We start from the raw sequence: 17,268 nt of genomic DNA on the forward strand, positions 1-17,268 counted from the left end.
ATCATTAGATTATACCCCTTTTTTTCAATCGTGCTTCTCCACAGCTATCCACTTCATCAAATGTTACATTAAAAAAAAAAAACAGGGTTTTCCATTACTTCAGATGTTCATTTCTAATAGCTCCTATGTCACGTCAAACTTGTAAGTACCTTTGTATGCTTTTCTCTTATCAATATGTCTTTTATTATAGGTGCCTCAGCCAAAGTGCAGCGATGGGTAAGAAAAAAGGTTCCCCTCCATGCCCACCGAGCCATACTCAGAGGTACCCTATACTTTTCTCCTCCTACACCTTACATACCCTTCATCTTTATTTCTTCCCTAGGCTACACTTCATTTTTTTTCTTATTTTCTCTCCTCTTTTTCTCAACACTTTATTATATAATAGATTTAATCTGTATGAAATAGACCTTTTTAGAAGGATTTGTAGTAGAAAGAGAACAAGGTTGAAAAGAAAAAGGTCATCTTTGATGGGGTAGAATATTGGTCTCATTATTCTATTCGTAATGGTATCACAAGTGTTGAAAATATTAGCAATTATCATTGAGGCGAAATGAAGAAGAAACTTCACATATTCCACAACTCAGAAAATGTTAAGGTTCTTTATGTATTTGACCTTATTTAATTCTTTCAACAGCCCTGCAGGGCAGCACTATCATAATTCACATTTTTATGACAATAAAACAAAGGCAGAAGAAATATCCAAAGTCACACAGCTAGTAACTGGTGGAGCCAGGATTTGATCTCAGTAAGACTGACTCCAGCATCAAGTTCATAACCATTAAAGAAGCAGAGACCTACTAACCATCTGACAGAAATGCTGTTTTTGATGTTGGTTGGAATATGATCTCTATGCTACCTGCCAACTCTAATGACTATAGAGAAATAATTTCGGAAAGTTTTCCAAGGAACTATTGAAAGGAAATGTTGCTAAAAACTTTTGAAAGGAAGAAGAAAATCTCTAGAAGCATCTCTGGGAAATAGTCTGAATTAATGAGTCAATGTCCACATCTAAAAATCTAAAATTAAAAACAAGGTTGATTTAAAAATCTCTTCTTGGAAGACTGGGACTGGAGCTTGGCTCAAGTCATAATGGGAGTCCAGAGAAAGTTAGTAATCTATATTTAAACCATGGAGAACTGAAAAACAAACAAACAAAAAAAAACAAAAAAAAAAACAAGAACCAAAAAATTATATTTCTTCAATAGTCCTTAGCAACAAAAGAATAGGAGGTTGAGAAAAATGAAGTTACAAATATGCTTAAGTGCCAGGTGCAGAGGCTCACACCTGTAATCCCAGTACTTTGGGAGGCCGAGGTGGGAGGATCACAAGAGGTCAGCAGTTTGAGACCAACCTAGCCAATGTGGTGAAACCCCATCTCTACTAAAAATACAAAAATTAGCCAGGCTTGGTGGTAGGCAACTGTCATCCCAGCTACTCAGGAGGCTGAGGCAGGAGAATCGCTTGAACCCTGGAGGCAGAGGTTGCAGTGAGAGGAGATTGTGCCACTGTACTCCAGCTTGAGCGATAGAACGAGACTCTGTCTCAAAAAAAAAAAAAAAAAAAAACCAGTATGCTTAAGTAACAGGTACTTTCTCCAGGCATCCTTTTGGGGGGTAAGGCAAATTTTTCTCCATTTTAAAATCTATGAAGGTCAAGCTCTAGGAGTTAGGTCAGATTATTAATACATTCTGATATTTTCTGAACAGAAGTTATAATAGTCAAGGCCAAATACATATCATCCTGTAAAATTAGGAAAACCTAGGAGGAATTTTAGGCGCAGAACATTTCCCCTTTAGTAGGTCATGTGCAGTTTTTCTAACCAAAAAACTATTCAAATTATTCTAGAGCAGGCCCAAATGTAGAAGATAAAGGAAAAATCTCCTGTTCCGTTCTTAGATAGAATCACATCAATCCTAACTAAATTTCTGATATTAAGAGAAAAATAGAATGTATTTTAAAGTGTTCTGTGGCAACCAGGCCTGTATTTATAAAAGAGTTGAGCATTTCCTTCTCTGATATCTATGATTCATGATTAAAAACAGTGCTATAGAGACAGAACTAACTCAAACAAAAATTCCAAAGAACCTATTCTGATAAATGATACATGACAAAATTACATTTAAACAGTTATGAGGCTTGAAGGAATCCAGCAGAGAATAAGAGCAAATGATGTGGGGGTTTTCTACTCTTAATTCCTGTGACAAAAATGATAAAATATGGTTCTTTCATACAATGACAGGGAGAAACAGGAAACCTGAGAACAGAAAGTATATTGTTGTTCAGAAAGAGAGATGGTGTTCCCATATATTTCAGATTGGCAGTTTTATTTGAAAAGGGCCTCTGGATCTTTGTTTTTAAGAATGGGGAAGGATAAGAGCAGTAGAAAAAGGGGAAAAACACAATAGTTTTATAGTTTCACCTCTTAACATTTGACAGACACTGCTGTCTAAAGGCTAATCTGAAATTCAGTTATCACATCCAGGGAAAAACATGCAAGCAATATATTTCTCAACAGGATGCCAAAAGAATGTTGTTAGTGCGTTTGTAAATTTCCAATTCTTTCTTACTGCCCTTATCCAACAACCCAAACAAATCAGTCTAAATACGACTTCTTTTCCTAATGTCTTTTGAAGCATCACTGCAGTCAGATTGAGTCAAGTAACCATCTGCTGCAAATACAAATAGAGCTACATTCAAGAATTATATTACACAGCCTTCCCAGCAAAGTTCTTACGTGCAAGCTGTTCTTGTCAAAATCAGAACCATTGTGATGATGCGTCTTAATATTCAATCAGACTTTAAGTAAAGAGTGACGAAAGTCCACATATGGATGACAGCTGTTTCTTCAGTAAATATTTTCCCATTTATTGAATGGAGGCTTATGGCAGTTTAGGATATGTTCCATCAGACATTTCAGCCTGAACTGCCTGAGGACTATTAAAACAATAACAAGGATAGAATTTCAGTTTTCAAATCTTTGCTACAATTTACATCTTAAAAAATAACAGCTCCTTCAAATAAGGTGGTACACTATGTGGTTAATTTGAAAGTATCCTTGCCCAGTAGTGACTGCTGAAAGAACTGAGTTTTCCTCCTGGCCCTCTAATAATACCACCATATTTGTAAAATAAAAGCATAATTCCTGTATTGATTTTCTAATCATATGAACAAAGATGATGGGAATTTAAACATTTTATGACTATATTTTTATAAATTATGAAATATGGTAAAAAGATTAATGAGTCTATTAGCTAAAGAATGTCAGAAGGTCTCTATTTAACCAATAAAGTAGCTTGCAAAATTGGGAAGTTAAAAAAAAAAGAAGATGAATTCTGATGAGGAATTCACTAACACCATAATAATATTTGGGTTTACATATCAACAGTCATCGAACGTAAGAGTCTGAACAAAGATATTTTTAATGTTTTACTAGTATCTGGGTAAACATATGTTGTGCCCCTTTTGTAAATCCTAAACGTTATGCTGGATATAAGTATGTCAACAGTACATCCTTCAAGTAGCATTCTGGAGGTTTGCTAACGAAAAAGTCCACTGTTAAGCATTAAAAAGTTTCCTCTCTTTAACCTAAAAATATGCTGAGGCTTTTCTCTGATGACCCTGATGCAATTCTTGGGAAGGTGGAAGGGAAGATGGAAGGTTATTTGTGTCTTACATTAGACCTGCAATATTCATACACTAATAACTCACCAGCTTCTGCCTGGTGAGTTATAGCCTTTTTTCCTTCCTGCGACACAGTTGTTAAAATCAACATTTCTAAAAAGTTTGAGTCTGTAGTCTTATTTTCCACAACAACACTTGTCATACTTCAATCTTTTCTTTTTAAACGCAAACTTTTTTAGACCAAACACTATAAAGAATTTCTTACCCTGCTATTGGATCTACTGCTATTGCTTTAGGATTGTGAAGCTCCAGATCAATCAGGGTGACACATACAGAACCGTTGGAATTACAAACAAAGATCCGGTCACCGACATGGTCCACAAAATAGAGATTTCGAGTGAGCCAGTCAATCGCCATTTGTTGCACATCTGAAAAACACATACACAAAATCATTGAATCACAGGTGCAATCTAGCATCATGATCCAAAAATAACATAAGTGTTTCCAAACCATCATAGAGGACATTTCAAAAGTATAGACATTTTTATGAAAAGAAACTGCAAAGTCTCTTGCTATGCCAAAATGTGACTTAATAATTATGTAAAATAATTATCTTGGTGCCTTTCTTCTTGCTATCTGAAGACTGAAGACGACCTAGATACATGCATAAAGAGTTTCCACGTTTTAAAATATAGGTATTTAGAATGTAATCTCTTACTTTTTGCATTTGTCCAAAATAGTTCATTCGATGGAATGAACAGAACTGATTCAATAGCACAGCTAAACTCTGTAGTAGTGAGGAATAAATACCTTTTCTGAGTGTAAGGCAAATCCTTGTTTTCAGATTCCCTTTTATTAAAAGAAGGAAAGGGTGGAGAAGATGGAAAAGGAGATCTATAAGATTCCTTTGTTTGAAAAAATATCCAAAACTTGGAAATAAAGCAAATGGAGGGGTGATAATTTCTTTCAATGGCATACTTAGGAATTGTAAAAAAGGCTTGCTCAAGGACTGATTAATTAATTCTCTAGAAGAGTGCTGCCCAACAGCACTTTCTACAGTGATGGTGAGAAAAGAAAAATAGCTAAGAGCAGTCTGAGCTATGTGAGGTATGCAAAATTAATCAGGCTCAGAGAGACTTGAGTATGGGATTTCAGCTATACCTTCCACACCTGAGCCCAGGGGCAGCTGTTTAAAGACATTTCAGTTCTGACTAGCTGTCTCACTCATTATCTTCATGTTCCTGGAACTTGTGATACAAAGAACAATGTATAGCCAATCAATAACTTATGTTACTTTAATGTAAATTCTTAGTAAACAAGTTAGGAAGGGTCTCTTCTTTCCCTTTAAAAACCTACTTGTAACTGCTGCTAATAGGAGTATACATTCAGAGCAAACTGAATCTGTACTACTGGGTTGCAATCCTCAAGCTTGGTCCCAATAAACTCTCTACTTAGATTAATTTGGCCTCAGCTTCTTCCTTTTAGGTCAACAATAAAAAAATTCCATATTTATGCTGTCCCATAAAGTAACCACTAGCCAAATTTAACAAGTGACTACTATGACTGGAAAATTGAATTTTTATCATATCTAATTTTAATTAACTGGAATTTAAATTTAAATGACATAGGTAGCTAGTGACTACTGTTGCGGCTTAGAAAAAGGTATCCCAAAATATATGCCGCTTTGAACTTCAGACTGCAAAGTACCTGGGGAGCAGCCAATGCAGGGATGGGTTTTCTCTGAAGTTCCCTTATCTGACAAAGTGAAGTTCCTTTAGAAGAAAGAAAGAAAGAAAAGGAAGAAAAGAAAGAAAGAAAGCATCTGTAATAAACCCACTACCTATAATCTCATCAGACCAGAAAGATTAAGTCAGAAGAAAAGAGGCTGAAGGTCAACACACCACGTCTTTTGCTGAGGACTGCTGCCTGAGAGAACCTGCATATCAAGACAACCTTTGTTCTCCATGCATTTCCTCCCCTCAACCTCCTATAACCTGTCACCACCTGAAACCCACACCTTTATTGTTTTCTGTAGCTCAGGATACTATACTATCTTCAGCCATCTGGTCTTTTTTGGAGTCGTATACTCTGTGGAACCCCAGTGAGTATGCATGTAATAAATTGGCATCCCTTTTCTCCTCTTAATATGTCTGCTGTCAAGTTTATTCCAGAGACTGAAATTACAGAATCTTCACAGGGTAGAAGCAAAGTTCTTTTTGCCCCTACGCTATTCTCAATGCTGCAGCTTTAGAAGAGCTTATCTGTCTTGACTTGAGTATTTTTTGATCAGCCATACACTGAAATTGCATGTTAATTTGTAGATACTTCTCTGATAAAAATGATAAATTCAAAGGTTATGGTTTTATTGCCCTGTGAGGTATTAAACATTTATATGCCTAACCTATGAATCTCATTTAAACATTATTTTTCATTAAAATACCTATAAATACCCAATTCCTCTAATGAGGTTAGACCAGCAATACTGGTCTGTTTCCCTCAATAATGCCATAAGTAATTTTCTGATCTATGTTCATTCTAGATTTTTATTATAGTCACATTTTTAACTTTTGAAAATTATACTTTGATACTTCCTTTCTCGAACTTAGAATGAATCTATGATTCACTGACTAAACAGAGTGACAAGCTTATGAACAGTCTACTCCACAATATGGCACTTTGGCATATTGAAGGAATTTGAGAAATAGCAGGTTGAAGAAGGGCTCCCTAACTTTCTCCTTTCCTCTGAAGGAGGTCATAGAAACAGCAAATACTGCAAAAACTCTCTAACCTTATCCTTCTCCCCTGGAGTAGGTCATAAGATCCTCAAGTGAGAGGTGACCTCCCTACCTCCAGAGGAAAGAAACATCCTTATTTCCAAAGATGGTGGGAAACAGAGAAATCTGAACAGGTGATGCTAAATGCCCCATTTACTATTCTTAGCTCTTAACCATGCCCTATCATGTTCTCTCCATAACTTTCTACTCTTCATCATACTTAGTATGAAAATACTCAGGCTCAACCATCTCTTTGGGTCTTCATTTCCTTATGAATGCTTCTGTGTCACATAAAATTTATATTAAATAAATGTGTGTATTTTTCTCTTGTTAATCTTTTGTTAGTCTAATTGGCATGGTCCCAGCTGGAGAACTTAAAACAGGTCAAAATTATATTTTTTCCTCCCCTAAAAGAGTTTCCTTCTGCAATCTGAGCCTAAACTTTCCTCCTATCCTATGCCTCAAAATACTTCCTCAGTAACATGCTGCTTCTATTGATGTTCTCTTAATAGTAAGACTAACATAGACATATGTGTCAGCATTACCATTTGTAAGGGTATATTGTCAAAACAAGGTAGAGAAGGCAGAAACTTTGTGGGAATGTCTATCACCTCCTACAAGGATAAGCAGAAAGAAGATACTGCAATTAATTGGATAGAGATTTTCAGGCTATTGATACTAGTTTTATTCCTAAATTATACAGTCTTTATAAAATCATAAATATTTAAATTTTTCCCAAACAAAAATAAGCTTTTTTTTTTTCAACCAGTCCATTAACCAGGGCTTTAAAAGTGTGAATTATTTATCTGTCTTGAGAAATCTGGAATGTATGGTTTGCTTTGTTTTTGAGTCTTTTTGTATTATTATATCAGCTAGAGCTCAGAACTCACTGTTACAAATGTCGTTTCAAATATCTTGGGTTCAGATAAAGTATGTGCCAGAGTCCATTCAATGACCCATCCCTCAAGCTGGGCATGCAGTTGCTTTAGTTTATACAATTGTAATTTCAGACAAAAGAGCTGTTTGACAGCATTCATACCTTCTCTCAACTCTTTATCATTTCAGAAAGATTTTCTGCCACTGAAACAATAGATACTGTTACCAGTCATGCAACTTTGAAGCATTGAGATCTCACTACAGAACTTAATAATAAGCCAAACACTTAGTAACTATGGGGAATTGGCTTTGTTCCTCATTTTATAGTTGAAGTGTCTGCTTTTAATTTAATTTGTATTAGAATTAAAGAGTTGAGGCAATTAGACAAAGAGTTCAAGCAAGTAAGCCAATACATAAATGCATTAGATGGATGAACGGATAAATTTGACCAAATTTAATAAGCATTTAAAGGTTTTCCAAATTACAGGAAGCTTTTTTCAACCAGCCTGGAAACTAGAATTTTTAAAAGTCTAAATTATATACCTGTCTTCAGAAATCAGAAAATGATTTGAACATTTTTAGGAGCGAAGTGAATTTCCTAAAGTATTGAGTATTTTACCTTAATTTTGCTGAAATATAACAAAGTTCATAGGAGATGAATGAAAATAACCATAATCATTTTATGACATTACTAAAATATCTCAAAATGTAAGTCCCTTATTGCTTTACTGTTACTGGAACAAAATTTTAAATATTTTCTTCTTACCATATTTTTTTAGTTGCTACTTATTCTTTTTTTCAACCAAAAGTCACCTGGATTTTGCTCTCATTGTTCCTTTGAAGTGGCTCTTATTTTGATTACTTAACATTCCTTAATTGTCAAAAGTTAGTGAGAAATTTTCTGCTCTATATCAATATCATCTGAAAGTACTGACCACTCATCTTCTGAAATATCGATAACTCTAAATATCAACATTGGCAAAAGTAGAAGAAAAAAAGAATAAAAATATTTTGAAACTTGTAAAGTAGTATATAAATACAAGCAACTATGTTTTTAAAACTTGTTATTTGTTAGATTTAAAAACTTAAATTTGCACCGAGTAATAATTAATGAGAATGAAACATTCAGAAAAGAGTTTAAAAAATGAATAGTTGTAGTGATAACTCATAATTGGCTATAAAATGACACATCAATTTTTTTGTTATATTATGAGGCAAGTAATGAATTACCAGAATTGGTGAACATAGAACTGAAACATTTTAAAGTCAAAAAATAACAGATGCTGGCAAGGTTGCAGAGAAAAGGGAACACTTACACATTGTCGATGGGATCGTAAATTAGTTCAACCATTGTAGAAAGCAGTATGGCAATTCCTCAAAGAGCTAAAAGCAGAACTACCATTTAACCCAGCAATCCCATTACTGTGTATATACCCAGAGGAATATAAATCATTCTATGATAAAGACACAAGCACTTGAATGTTTAACACAGCACTATAAGCACCATTCACAATAGCAAAGACATGGAATCAACCTAAATGCTCATCGTGACTGATTGGATAAAGAAAACATGGTGCATATATATACCATGGAATACTATGCAGCAATAAAAAGGAATGAGATTATGTTGTTTGCAGGAATATGAATGGAGCTGGAGGTTATTAGCAAACTAAGACAGAAACAGAAATCAAAATACTTCATGTTCTCATGTATTAGTAGGAGCTGAATGATGAGAACTCATGAACACAAAGAAGGGAACAATAGACACTGGAGTCTACTTGAGGGTGGAGGATGGGAGGAGGGAGAGGAGTAGAAAAGACAACTTTTGGGGACTTGGCAATGAAATAATCTGTACAACAAACCCCCATAACACAAGTTTACCTATGTAACAAACCTGCCCTTGTACCCCGAACCTAAAATAAAAGTTAGAAAAAAAAACCCACAAAATTGAGAAAGTCAAATCTTGCTTAAAAAAAAAAATAAAAATAAAAGGAATTGTTGTTTGTCTTTTTTATGTCATTCTGAACCATTGTCTAACAAGGCCATCCAAGGATTACTTCATTCTCCTGGGGAATATACCTTTGTTTGACTTATAATTTCAAGCAAATATTGCTTAGGTCCCCTTCTCTATGGATTTAATTTGTTTAAATCCATGTTTAGATTGATGCATTAAAAATACTTTTTCTCCAATAGAGATGCAAATGATTTCCATCAGGTAGAAAAGATAACTGCAAAGTTTACACTTTCATTGTCCAGTACAATATTGACTAGTTTTATCTGTAATTTTGCAATCTTATATCAGTACTTTTTCTTTCATCGACTGTAAATATTTCAACCTCTTCCATTCTACTTTGAAACAGTTTTGCCATCCTGCTGGTTCTCTTGTTAATGAGCTAAATGTCTGCTTGACATATGCTCTCTATATATTTACATAAGTCATGTTTTTAACGTTTTGAAAATTATACACTGGCAATTGTCAGTACTTGATTTCTTCTTTATTTTCTATATTGATTTTCTACCAACCAGAAATGGCAAATTTAAATGTCTACAAGGATCAGAATGAGAACATAAATAGGCTAAATTTATTAATCAGGACTGTGGCAAATCTAGATGATGGCCAGAAAGTATACACCTACCTAAAAAAGGCAGCCTCAACTTCAGCACTTGTTTTGATCTAGAGACGCTTTGTTGCTTCAAAGAACTTCAAAACATGATTTCCACATTTCAGTTGAAATCTCTCAATTTTTTAATGTTATAAACTAATTTTTAAAATTTACAAAGCATTTTGTGTGTTCAGCCAAACCTATCTGCAACCATATTGGACCAAGGGCCACTAGTGTGATGACACCACAGCAAAGAAAACACTGTATATCATTCGGTTCAGCCTAGCCCTCTAATTAAACATGTTTTTGAAAAGGTTACTAACATCAATGAGAGTAACTGTCCTTATATTAAATAAACAAAATACCAAGACTCCAAAATGGTGAGGCGATTAAATCAGGTAACAAATATTAAAAATCCAGGATAGTGACATCCAGTAGATTTTTCAAAAATATTAGTTATCTCCCAGAGGGAACAAAAAGACTGCCCTTTAATTTATATCTTTTTGACTGCTTGTGATGTGCATGTACTAGAGAATATTTTAGTACCAAAACAATAAATTAATAAGATATACAGTAGTTGTGATAATTTAAAAATATGCCCACAAATTCTTTGATACTCCTCCTTTTAAGAGATGAAGCTTAATTCTCCTCCTGAAGGTGGGCTGTTCTTTGTTCTTCTACTGAACAGAATGTGGAAGAGATGATGGAGTATGATTTCTGAGGGTAAGTCACAAAAGGCATTGTAACTTCCATTCGGTTCTCTCTCTCTTTGGATCACTCACTCTGGTGGAAGCCACCTGCCATGCTATGAGGGCACTCAAGCAGCCCTATGTGGTCTACATTGCAAGGAACTGAGGCTTCCTGCCAGCAGCCACAAGAGTGAGCCTGGAAGCCAGTCTTTTAGCTCCAGTTAAGATGCCAGATGCCTGCAGTCCTGGCTAACATCTTGATTGCAACCTCATGAGAGTCTCTATAACAGAACCACCTCACTAAGCCACTCCTGAATTTCTGACCCATAGAAACTGTAAGATAATAATCTTTGCTGTTTTTAAAGTCAGCAAGCCTTGGCATAATCTTTTATGCAGCAAAAGATAACTCAGTAGTCAAATCCCTGCAACTTTTAAAGATGAATTTTGTTGGCTTCCCAGCTCTTGGCTATCATTTTCTGACCAACCTGTAAACAAGACTGCCTACGCCAATAACTGTTTTGGATTCCTGAAATTATCCATCATGCAGCTCTAATGCTGAAAACACAGAGGATAATCCGTAAATGCTCATAAATGAACCCTGAGAAATTTAAAGACACACTCTCTTGAAAATGTCTGCTCTATTTTATCAAAGTGTCATTCTGTGCATTGGGACACAACCAAGGCCTGGATCCCTTGCATTGTCCCATCCTCAAGAAGGGCAGCATCAGATAGGACTAGTGTTATGAAGAAAACAAGACGGAAAAATGGCAGAGAGTGGCTGTTTAGGGAAGCCATCCTGAGAAGGATGGTATGTGAACTGAGCTCTGACAAGAAGATGCTAGCCATGTGGAATTTGGGCAGTAAGGCCTACCAAGAAGAACTGAGCTTGGCATTTTCTGAAAATGAGAAGCAGGGGTAAAGGGGCTATTTTGTAGCTAAAATAAGAAAGAATGAGAAAATATGAGGTAGCAAAGATAGGCAGGGATATGTAAACTATGGTCAGGGGATGGATTTTGGATTGTAAAACCAAGGAATTCCTTTGTTTTCAATGCAATTTTTATTTCTATCATACAGTAAATGTGCATGATTTAAAAAGTCAAACACTCCATCAAGGCTTATGGTAAAAAATAGCAGTGTCCACTCCACTCCTCTCCATTCTCTTCCAATTGTTTTGGCTACGTCAAGTGCATTTACTTTCGTAATTCTCTATAAGACGTTTCTATTAGTATTTTTAAAATTTAAAGCTTATATATAACTTAACGACTTTCTGCTATATAAGACTAGAAATTCATTCTTTACACCCCTCCATACTCATGGACGCATACACACATATATATTCACACTTTCTCTCCCCTCATCCTCCCACAATCTAATTTTCAGTTAAATTAATATTCAGTCTTTATATAATTATGACTATATACATTTTTGTTGATAGGTGAGAAAGTAGTTTAGTATTACTACACTTCCTTCCTTGAACAAGTTTTGGGTTATTTTTAGAGTTAGAGTTAATTGCTTTGTGTTTCAGCTTTTCTTTTTCTTTCTTAGAATTTATTATTGCATAATTCTACAAAAGAACTACAAAACTCCTCCCCAAATGGAAAATCAGTATTCTAGTCAGTTTTTTATTGTTGCTGTTGTTTACTTTTGACATCATTCCTGTTGCCTACCATCTTCCTGTTCCAAACTGCAACGGTTTACTCCTTCGCCATGGTTTGGGGGCTTCCTTTTATTAGTCCTGAGACTTACTGCTTATGAAATTAAATTCCCTGTTTTCTGCCAAAGTAGTTGATATGCCTTGGCTGTATCCCCACCCCACCTTACAATGCAAGGTATCTCACCTTGAACTGTTCTTGTGGTAGAGAATAAGTTTCATGAGATCTGATGGATTTATAAATGGGAGTTCCCCTGCACAAACCTCTTGCCTGCCACCATGTAAGACATGATTTTGATCCTCATTTGCCTTCTACAATGATTGTGAGGCCTTCCCAGCTATGTGAAACTTTGAATCAATTAAGCCTCTTTCCTTTATAAATTATCCAGTCTCAGGTATATCTTTATTAGCAGGGTGAGATCAGACTATAGTAGTGGATAAGAAATTGCCTGTCTGTTGGGGTTGTATTAGGGAACCTAGAGGCCTAGCTATTTTCAAAACAGGCTCTAAGCTAATCCTCTTATTCTCAGCCCCACTGGAAAAACCCTACCTTCATTGGTGCCTGAAGTCTCTAAATGTTTAGCCTTGCTGGGGTTCTTATCTTAGATTTTTACTTACACTCACTTAAAGCAGGAAAATATGAAATCTTATTTATTATTTAATTATCTGCTCCTTATTGTCCGAAATTGTCTCACATAATTTGTCTCTTCTCTTTGGTATTTTTGGGTTAATACATTCAAAAGCATTTTTTACTGTACTTAGAGTAGACTTTCAAAAAAGAACATATATGATATAAATACTTGTTTCATCTGCAGTGTTTCATGGAAGGTCACCAGAACTATTTCAAGCAGGGCAAGGAGATGTCTATTCAGTATTTGAAAAAGATCATTCTGGTTGCTGTATAGATAAAGGGGAAAAGTCTGAAAACAAGTGACCAGTTAGGAACATACTGCAGTTTCCAGGAGGGAAATATGGTAACTTCAAAGAGTATCAAAGCAGTAGTGAAGTTATGTAACAGAAACTCACCACCTTTCTTTAGTCAATATTAAATATGTAATCATATTTAATGGGATACATTTAAGTTGTCTTCTAGCTTTGGTGTAGGAGCCAAAAATGATGGCAGAAATTTTGAAGACATCACAGAAAATCAGAAAAATTCCAAATCCAGATTTGTTTCTATTCACGTTTCTGTTCTTGTATATTATGAATATTTTAACATTTTTATTTCTACTCAATTATTGCCCCATAAGTTGTGATGTTAAAGGAAAAGGTAAGATTATGAAGAAACCTATTCCATTTTCCTCGATTTATGTATCTCTTGAATGGTTTAAGTGGGAAATTAACATTTAGGTTTTATACCACATTTCTTTGCAGGAACGTTTGAAAATGCCTACTGAATAAGATGATATAATTGCATTTATTTTTACTTTTATATGTCACCATAATCTTTACCAAGAAGCATGTACTCACTTTATCCCTGGAAGGAATTAAGCAAACTGAGTTGAACAAACAAAGGCTCTGTCAGGTTGGTACAGTAATTAAAATGGTATTATGGAAGTTCAATGAGCAGGCACATCCTAAATCAGAGAAGGCTCTGTGCCACATTACAGAGCCTTTCCTTATTCCTTTAATGAAAGACTGTCCCCATCTATGCTCCGATCCTGTTTCTTAAACAGATAAAATGAATTCAAATATCTAGGACACTTCTGAATGCTAGCAGTCACAAAGCTCTACATAGAACCTGTGCATGTCTTTCTTGGAAAAAGACAAGGAAAGGGCTCCTGTCATTTGGTGGCAGGTCAATATCAGGTATCTGTGCGGGGTCTTGGATATTCTTATGCTTTTTGTTTGGGGGAGGAGGCACAGGTGACTGGGCTTTTGTACCTCCTTCCACTCACTTTTACACCATTTCCCCAATTCCTTCTTCTAGCACAGGCCACAAGCCAATTTTATCTACTATGGTAGATGCACTTAGAAAAGACTCCAGGTTATCCCTTCCCTACAGCAGAAAACATAGTTTACACAGAGGTGTCTTTTTCCCAGTAGGCAAACATTATATTCTTACTCGATCCACAAATCAAAAGTATTCATCCATTCCATTTTTATCTTTCCCCAATTCACCACATATTCAATCTATCAATAAATCTTAAAGCCTCCTCTTGAAACTATCCACTTCTTTCTATATCTGCTATTACGCTCCTTGTTTAGACACTATCTTATCTCTTCTGGATGGCTACAATAGTTTCTATAACTGCTCTCTCTGCTTCCTTTCTAGACCCACTGTAAAGTTCCTCACAGAGAACCCAGAGTGATCATTGCAAAACATAAATTATACCATGACACCATAGAAGAAATCAGTGCTCCTTGTGATCAGGGTTCTGTTTCAGTAGATTGCAGTGAAGAAAAGTCTTAAACTGATAGACTCTTAAGATTTACTGTCCCGCACAAATGCTTTCAGAAATACATCATCAATATCTTTACCAACATCTCAGCTTACTAGACTTTAGCTCAATTTTATGTTAAAACACCTTAGAGTATTTCTCTTATAACATTTTACCATGAAGGCCACTCAGGAACTGAGGCTCAGTGGGCTTTTATTTGTGTATTTTTTTCTTCTACATAGTTTTAATCAACGGCAGGTTTTACTCTAAATCTTCAGTCTGCACTTTTTTCCCCAAAATATTGCTCCTTTACTTAAAAATCTCCAATGGCTTTCCACCATGATCAGGAGAGAATTTAAAGTCTTTAATATGAACTACAAGGCTCCTAAACTCCCTGTTCTAATATTGTCTTTGCTCACTCTACTGCAGTCACACTTGTCTGCTTTTCTTTGAACCTGCAGAGAAAGCTCCTTAAGTCTTGATTCTTGAAAAAAGGCAAAGACACTTATTGATTTTTATAATTTATGTCTTCAAGAACTTGTGCCATTTTATTACCATTATGTAATTAATTTTGACAAATCAAGTAAGTTCAATATCTAAAATGTTTGTCCAACCCCATTAAAAAGTGGGCAAAGAACATGAACAGACATTTCTCAAAAGAAGACATACATCTGGCCAACAAACATGAAAAAGAGCTCAACATCACTGACCACTGGAGAAATGCAAATCAAAACCACAATGAGATACCATCTCACATCAATCAGAATGACTATTATTAAAAAGACAAAAAATAACATATGCTTCCAAGGCTTCAGATAAAAAAGGAACACTCACACCCTGTTGGTGGGAGTGTTAACTAGTTCAACCATTGTGGAAAGCAATGTGGCAATTCCTCAAAGAGCTAAAAGTAGAACTACCATTGGACCCAGCAATCCCATTACTGGGCATATACCCAGAAGAATATAAATCATTCTACCATAAAGACACATGCACGTATATGTTAATTGCCGAACTATTCACAATAGCAAAGACGTGGAATCAACCTTAATGCTCATCACTGGTAGACTAGATAAAGGAAATATAGTACATATACACCAAAGAAAACTATGTAGCCACAAAAAAACAAAACAAAAAACCAAGATCATATCCTTTGCAGTAACATGAATGGAGCTGGAGTTCTCAGTCACAAGTGGGAGCTGAATGATGAGAACACATGGACACATGAGGTGGAGGGAACAATGCACTGAGGCCTGCCGGGGGTGGGTGTGGGGGAGAGCAACAGGAAAAATAGCTAATGGATTCTGGGCTTAATACCTAGGTGATGAAATCATCTTTCAGACATTACTTAGCCCTCAAGACAAAATAATATCTGATATAGTCATGGCTTATGCTCTCTCTTCATTCAAGTATCTGCTCAAATGTCAGTTTTTCAGAAAGGACTCCATTGACCAGTAGATATTAAGAAGACCACTTATCCCCCTATATGTACACACACATACATACACGCATACACACGCGGTGACTCATCCCCATCAATGTATACCATTGCCCTAATTTTATTTTTCTTGTAGTTTTCATCACTGAGAAGTTAACTAGTGACTTATCAGTGCACTGTCTCCCCACATTAGAATATAAGCCCCATATGAGCAAAGGTCCTATATGTGTAATTCACTGCCGTTATTTCCAAAACCCAGAACTGTGTATAGCCCATAGTAAGTGTTCCGTGAATATTTAGAAATACATACTTGTATTTTTGCAATAGCCTTTGCTCAAAAAATTCCTGCCTAAAATCCATGTTCTCACCTCTTCAGTCAGTTTAAGCAGCATCTGAAGTCATAGCTTTTTCATTCCTTAATCAGCTGCAATATTTTCTTTGCTTTTACCATGAGCTCAAATATAATAAGTCACTTTACCTGAGAAATAAGTGTAGAAGGACCTATATTATTTAACATAGATGAGTAATTTTATGAAAGGACAATTAGGCAGACAGCAATTTGCAGGAATGAGTACCCAGGGTGAGTAACAATAGTATGAGGGATGATAACACCATAACACGGTGCGAAATAATAGTGACAACTGGTGAGTCTGAATGAGTAAAAATGGCTAAGAAAGCAAAGATCAAAATAATGTTCTGACAAAATGTCGTACTAAGGATGAAATACTACCACATCCACTTATGCGTTAAAACTGCCACATCTTTTTACAGCCTTGCTGCTTGTGATTATCTGGAGTGCTATCTAGAGTGCTTTCTTATCTATCCCCTACCAAGAAACATTTTCTGACTCACAGTCATGGAAGTTTATGGCTCTTGTTCCTATCCTCTAGGAAAGAATTTACTGACACCTAGTCCACGGTTTTATTTGAGACTACCAATTACCTTGACAACTTCTGTTTGCATATATTAGATTACTTTAGATTACGTTTTGATTTGTGTCCCTAAAAATACATATTTTAAGTTATTATTATATTCATATAATTATTACATATGTTTTTATACAAATAACATTATTGTACTTTTTTAATTATTCATTTTTGTCATATTTCTTAACCTAACCAAGTTGTAGACTCCGAATCTAAATCACAACAAATAGAAAATAGAAATGGTGCATGTTTCCCCAAAGTATTAGCTCTAATATACAATTAGAGAAGAAGATTCTGGACTGAATACTTTTA

The 17,268-nt window shown here is 35.4% G+C and overlaps 1 protein-coding gene across 3 annotated transcripts in view; it reads right to left on the minus strand.

The window, feature by feature from the left end:
- LRP1B (LDL receptor related protein 1B) overlaps positions 1–17,268 on the minus strand; it is a 1,899,594-nt gene that overhangs the window by 953,112 nt on the left and 929,214 nt on the right. For all 3 annotated transcript variants that reach the window (NM_018557.3, XM_017004341.2, XM_047444771.1), the window contains exon 7: positions 3,887–4,049. In NM_018557.3, the coding sequence (NP_061027.2) occupies positions 3,887–4,049 (163 nt within the window). The remainder of the gene's footprint in view (positions 1–3,886; positions 4,050–17,268) is intronic.

Source organism: Homo sapiens, chromosome 2, assembly GCF_000001405.40.
Source record: "Homo sapiens chromosome 2, GRCh38.p14 Primary Assembly".
Lineage (NCBI taxonomy): Eukaryota > Metazoa > Chordata > Mammalia > Primates > Hominidae > Homo > Homo sapiens.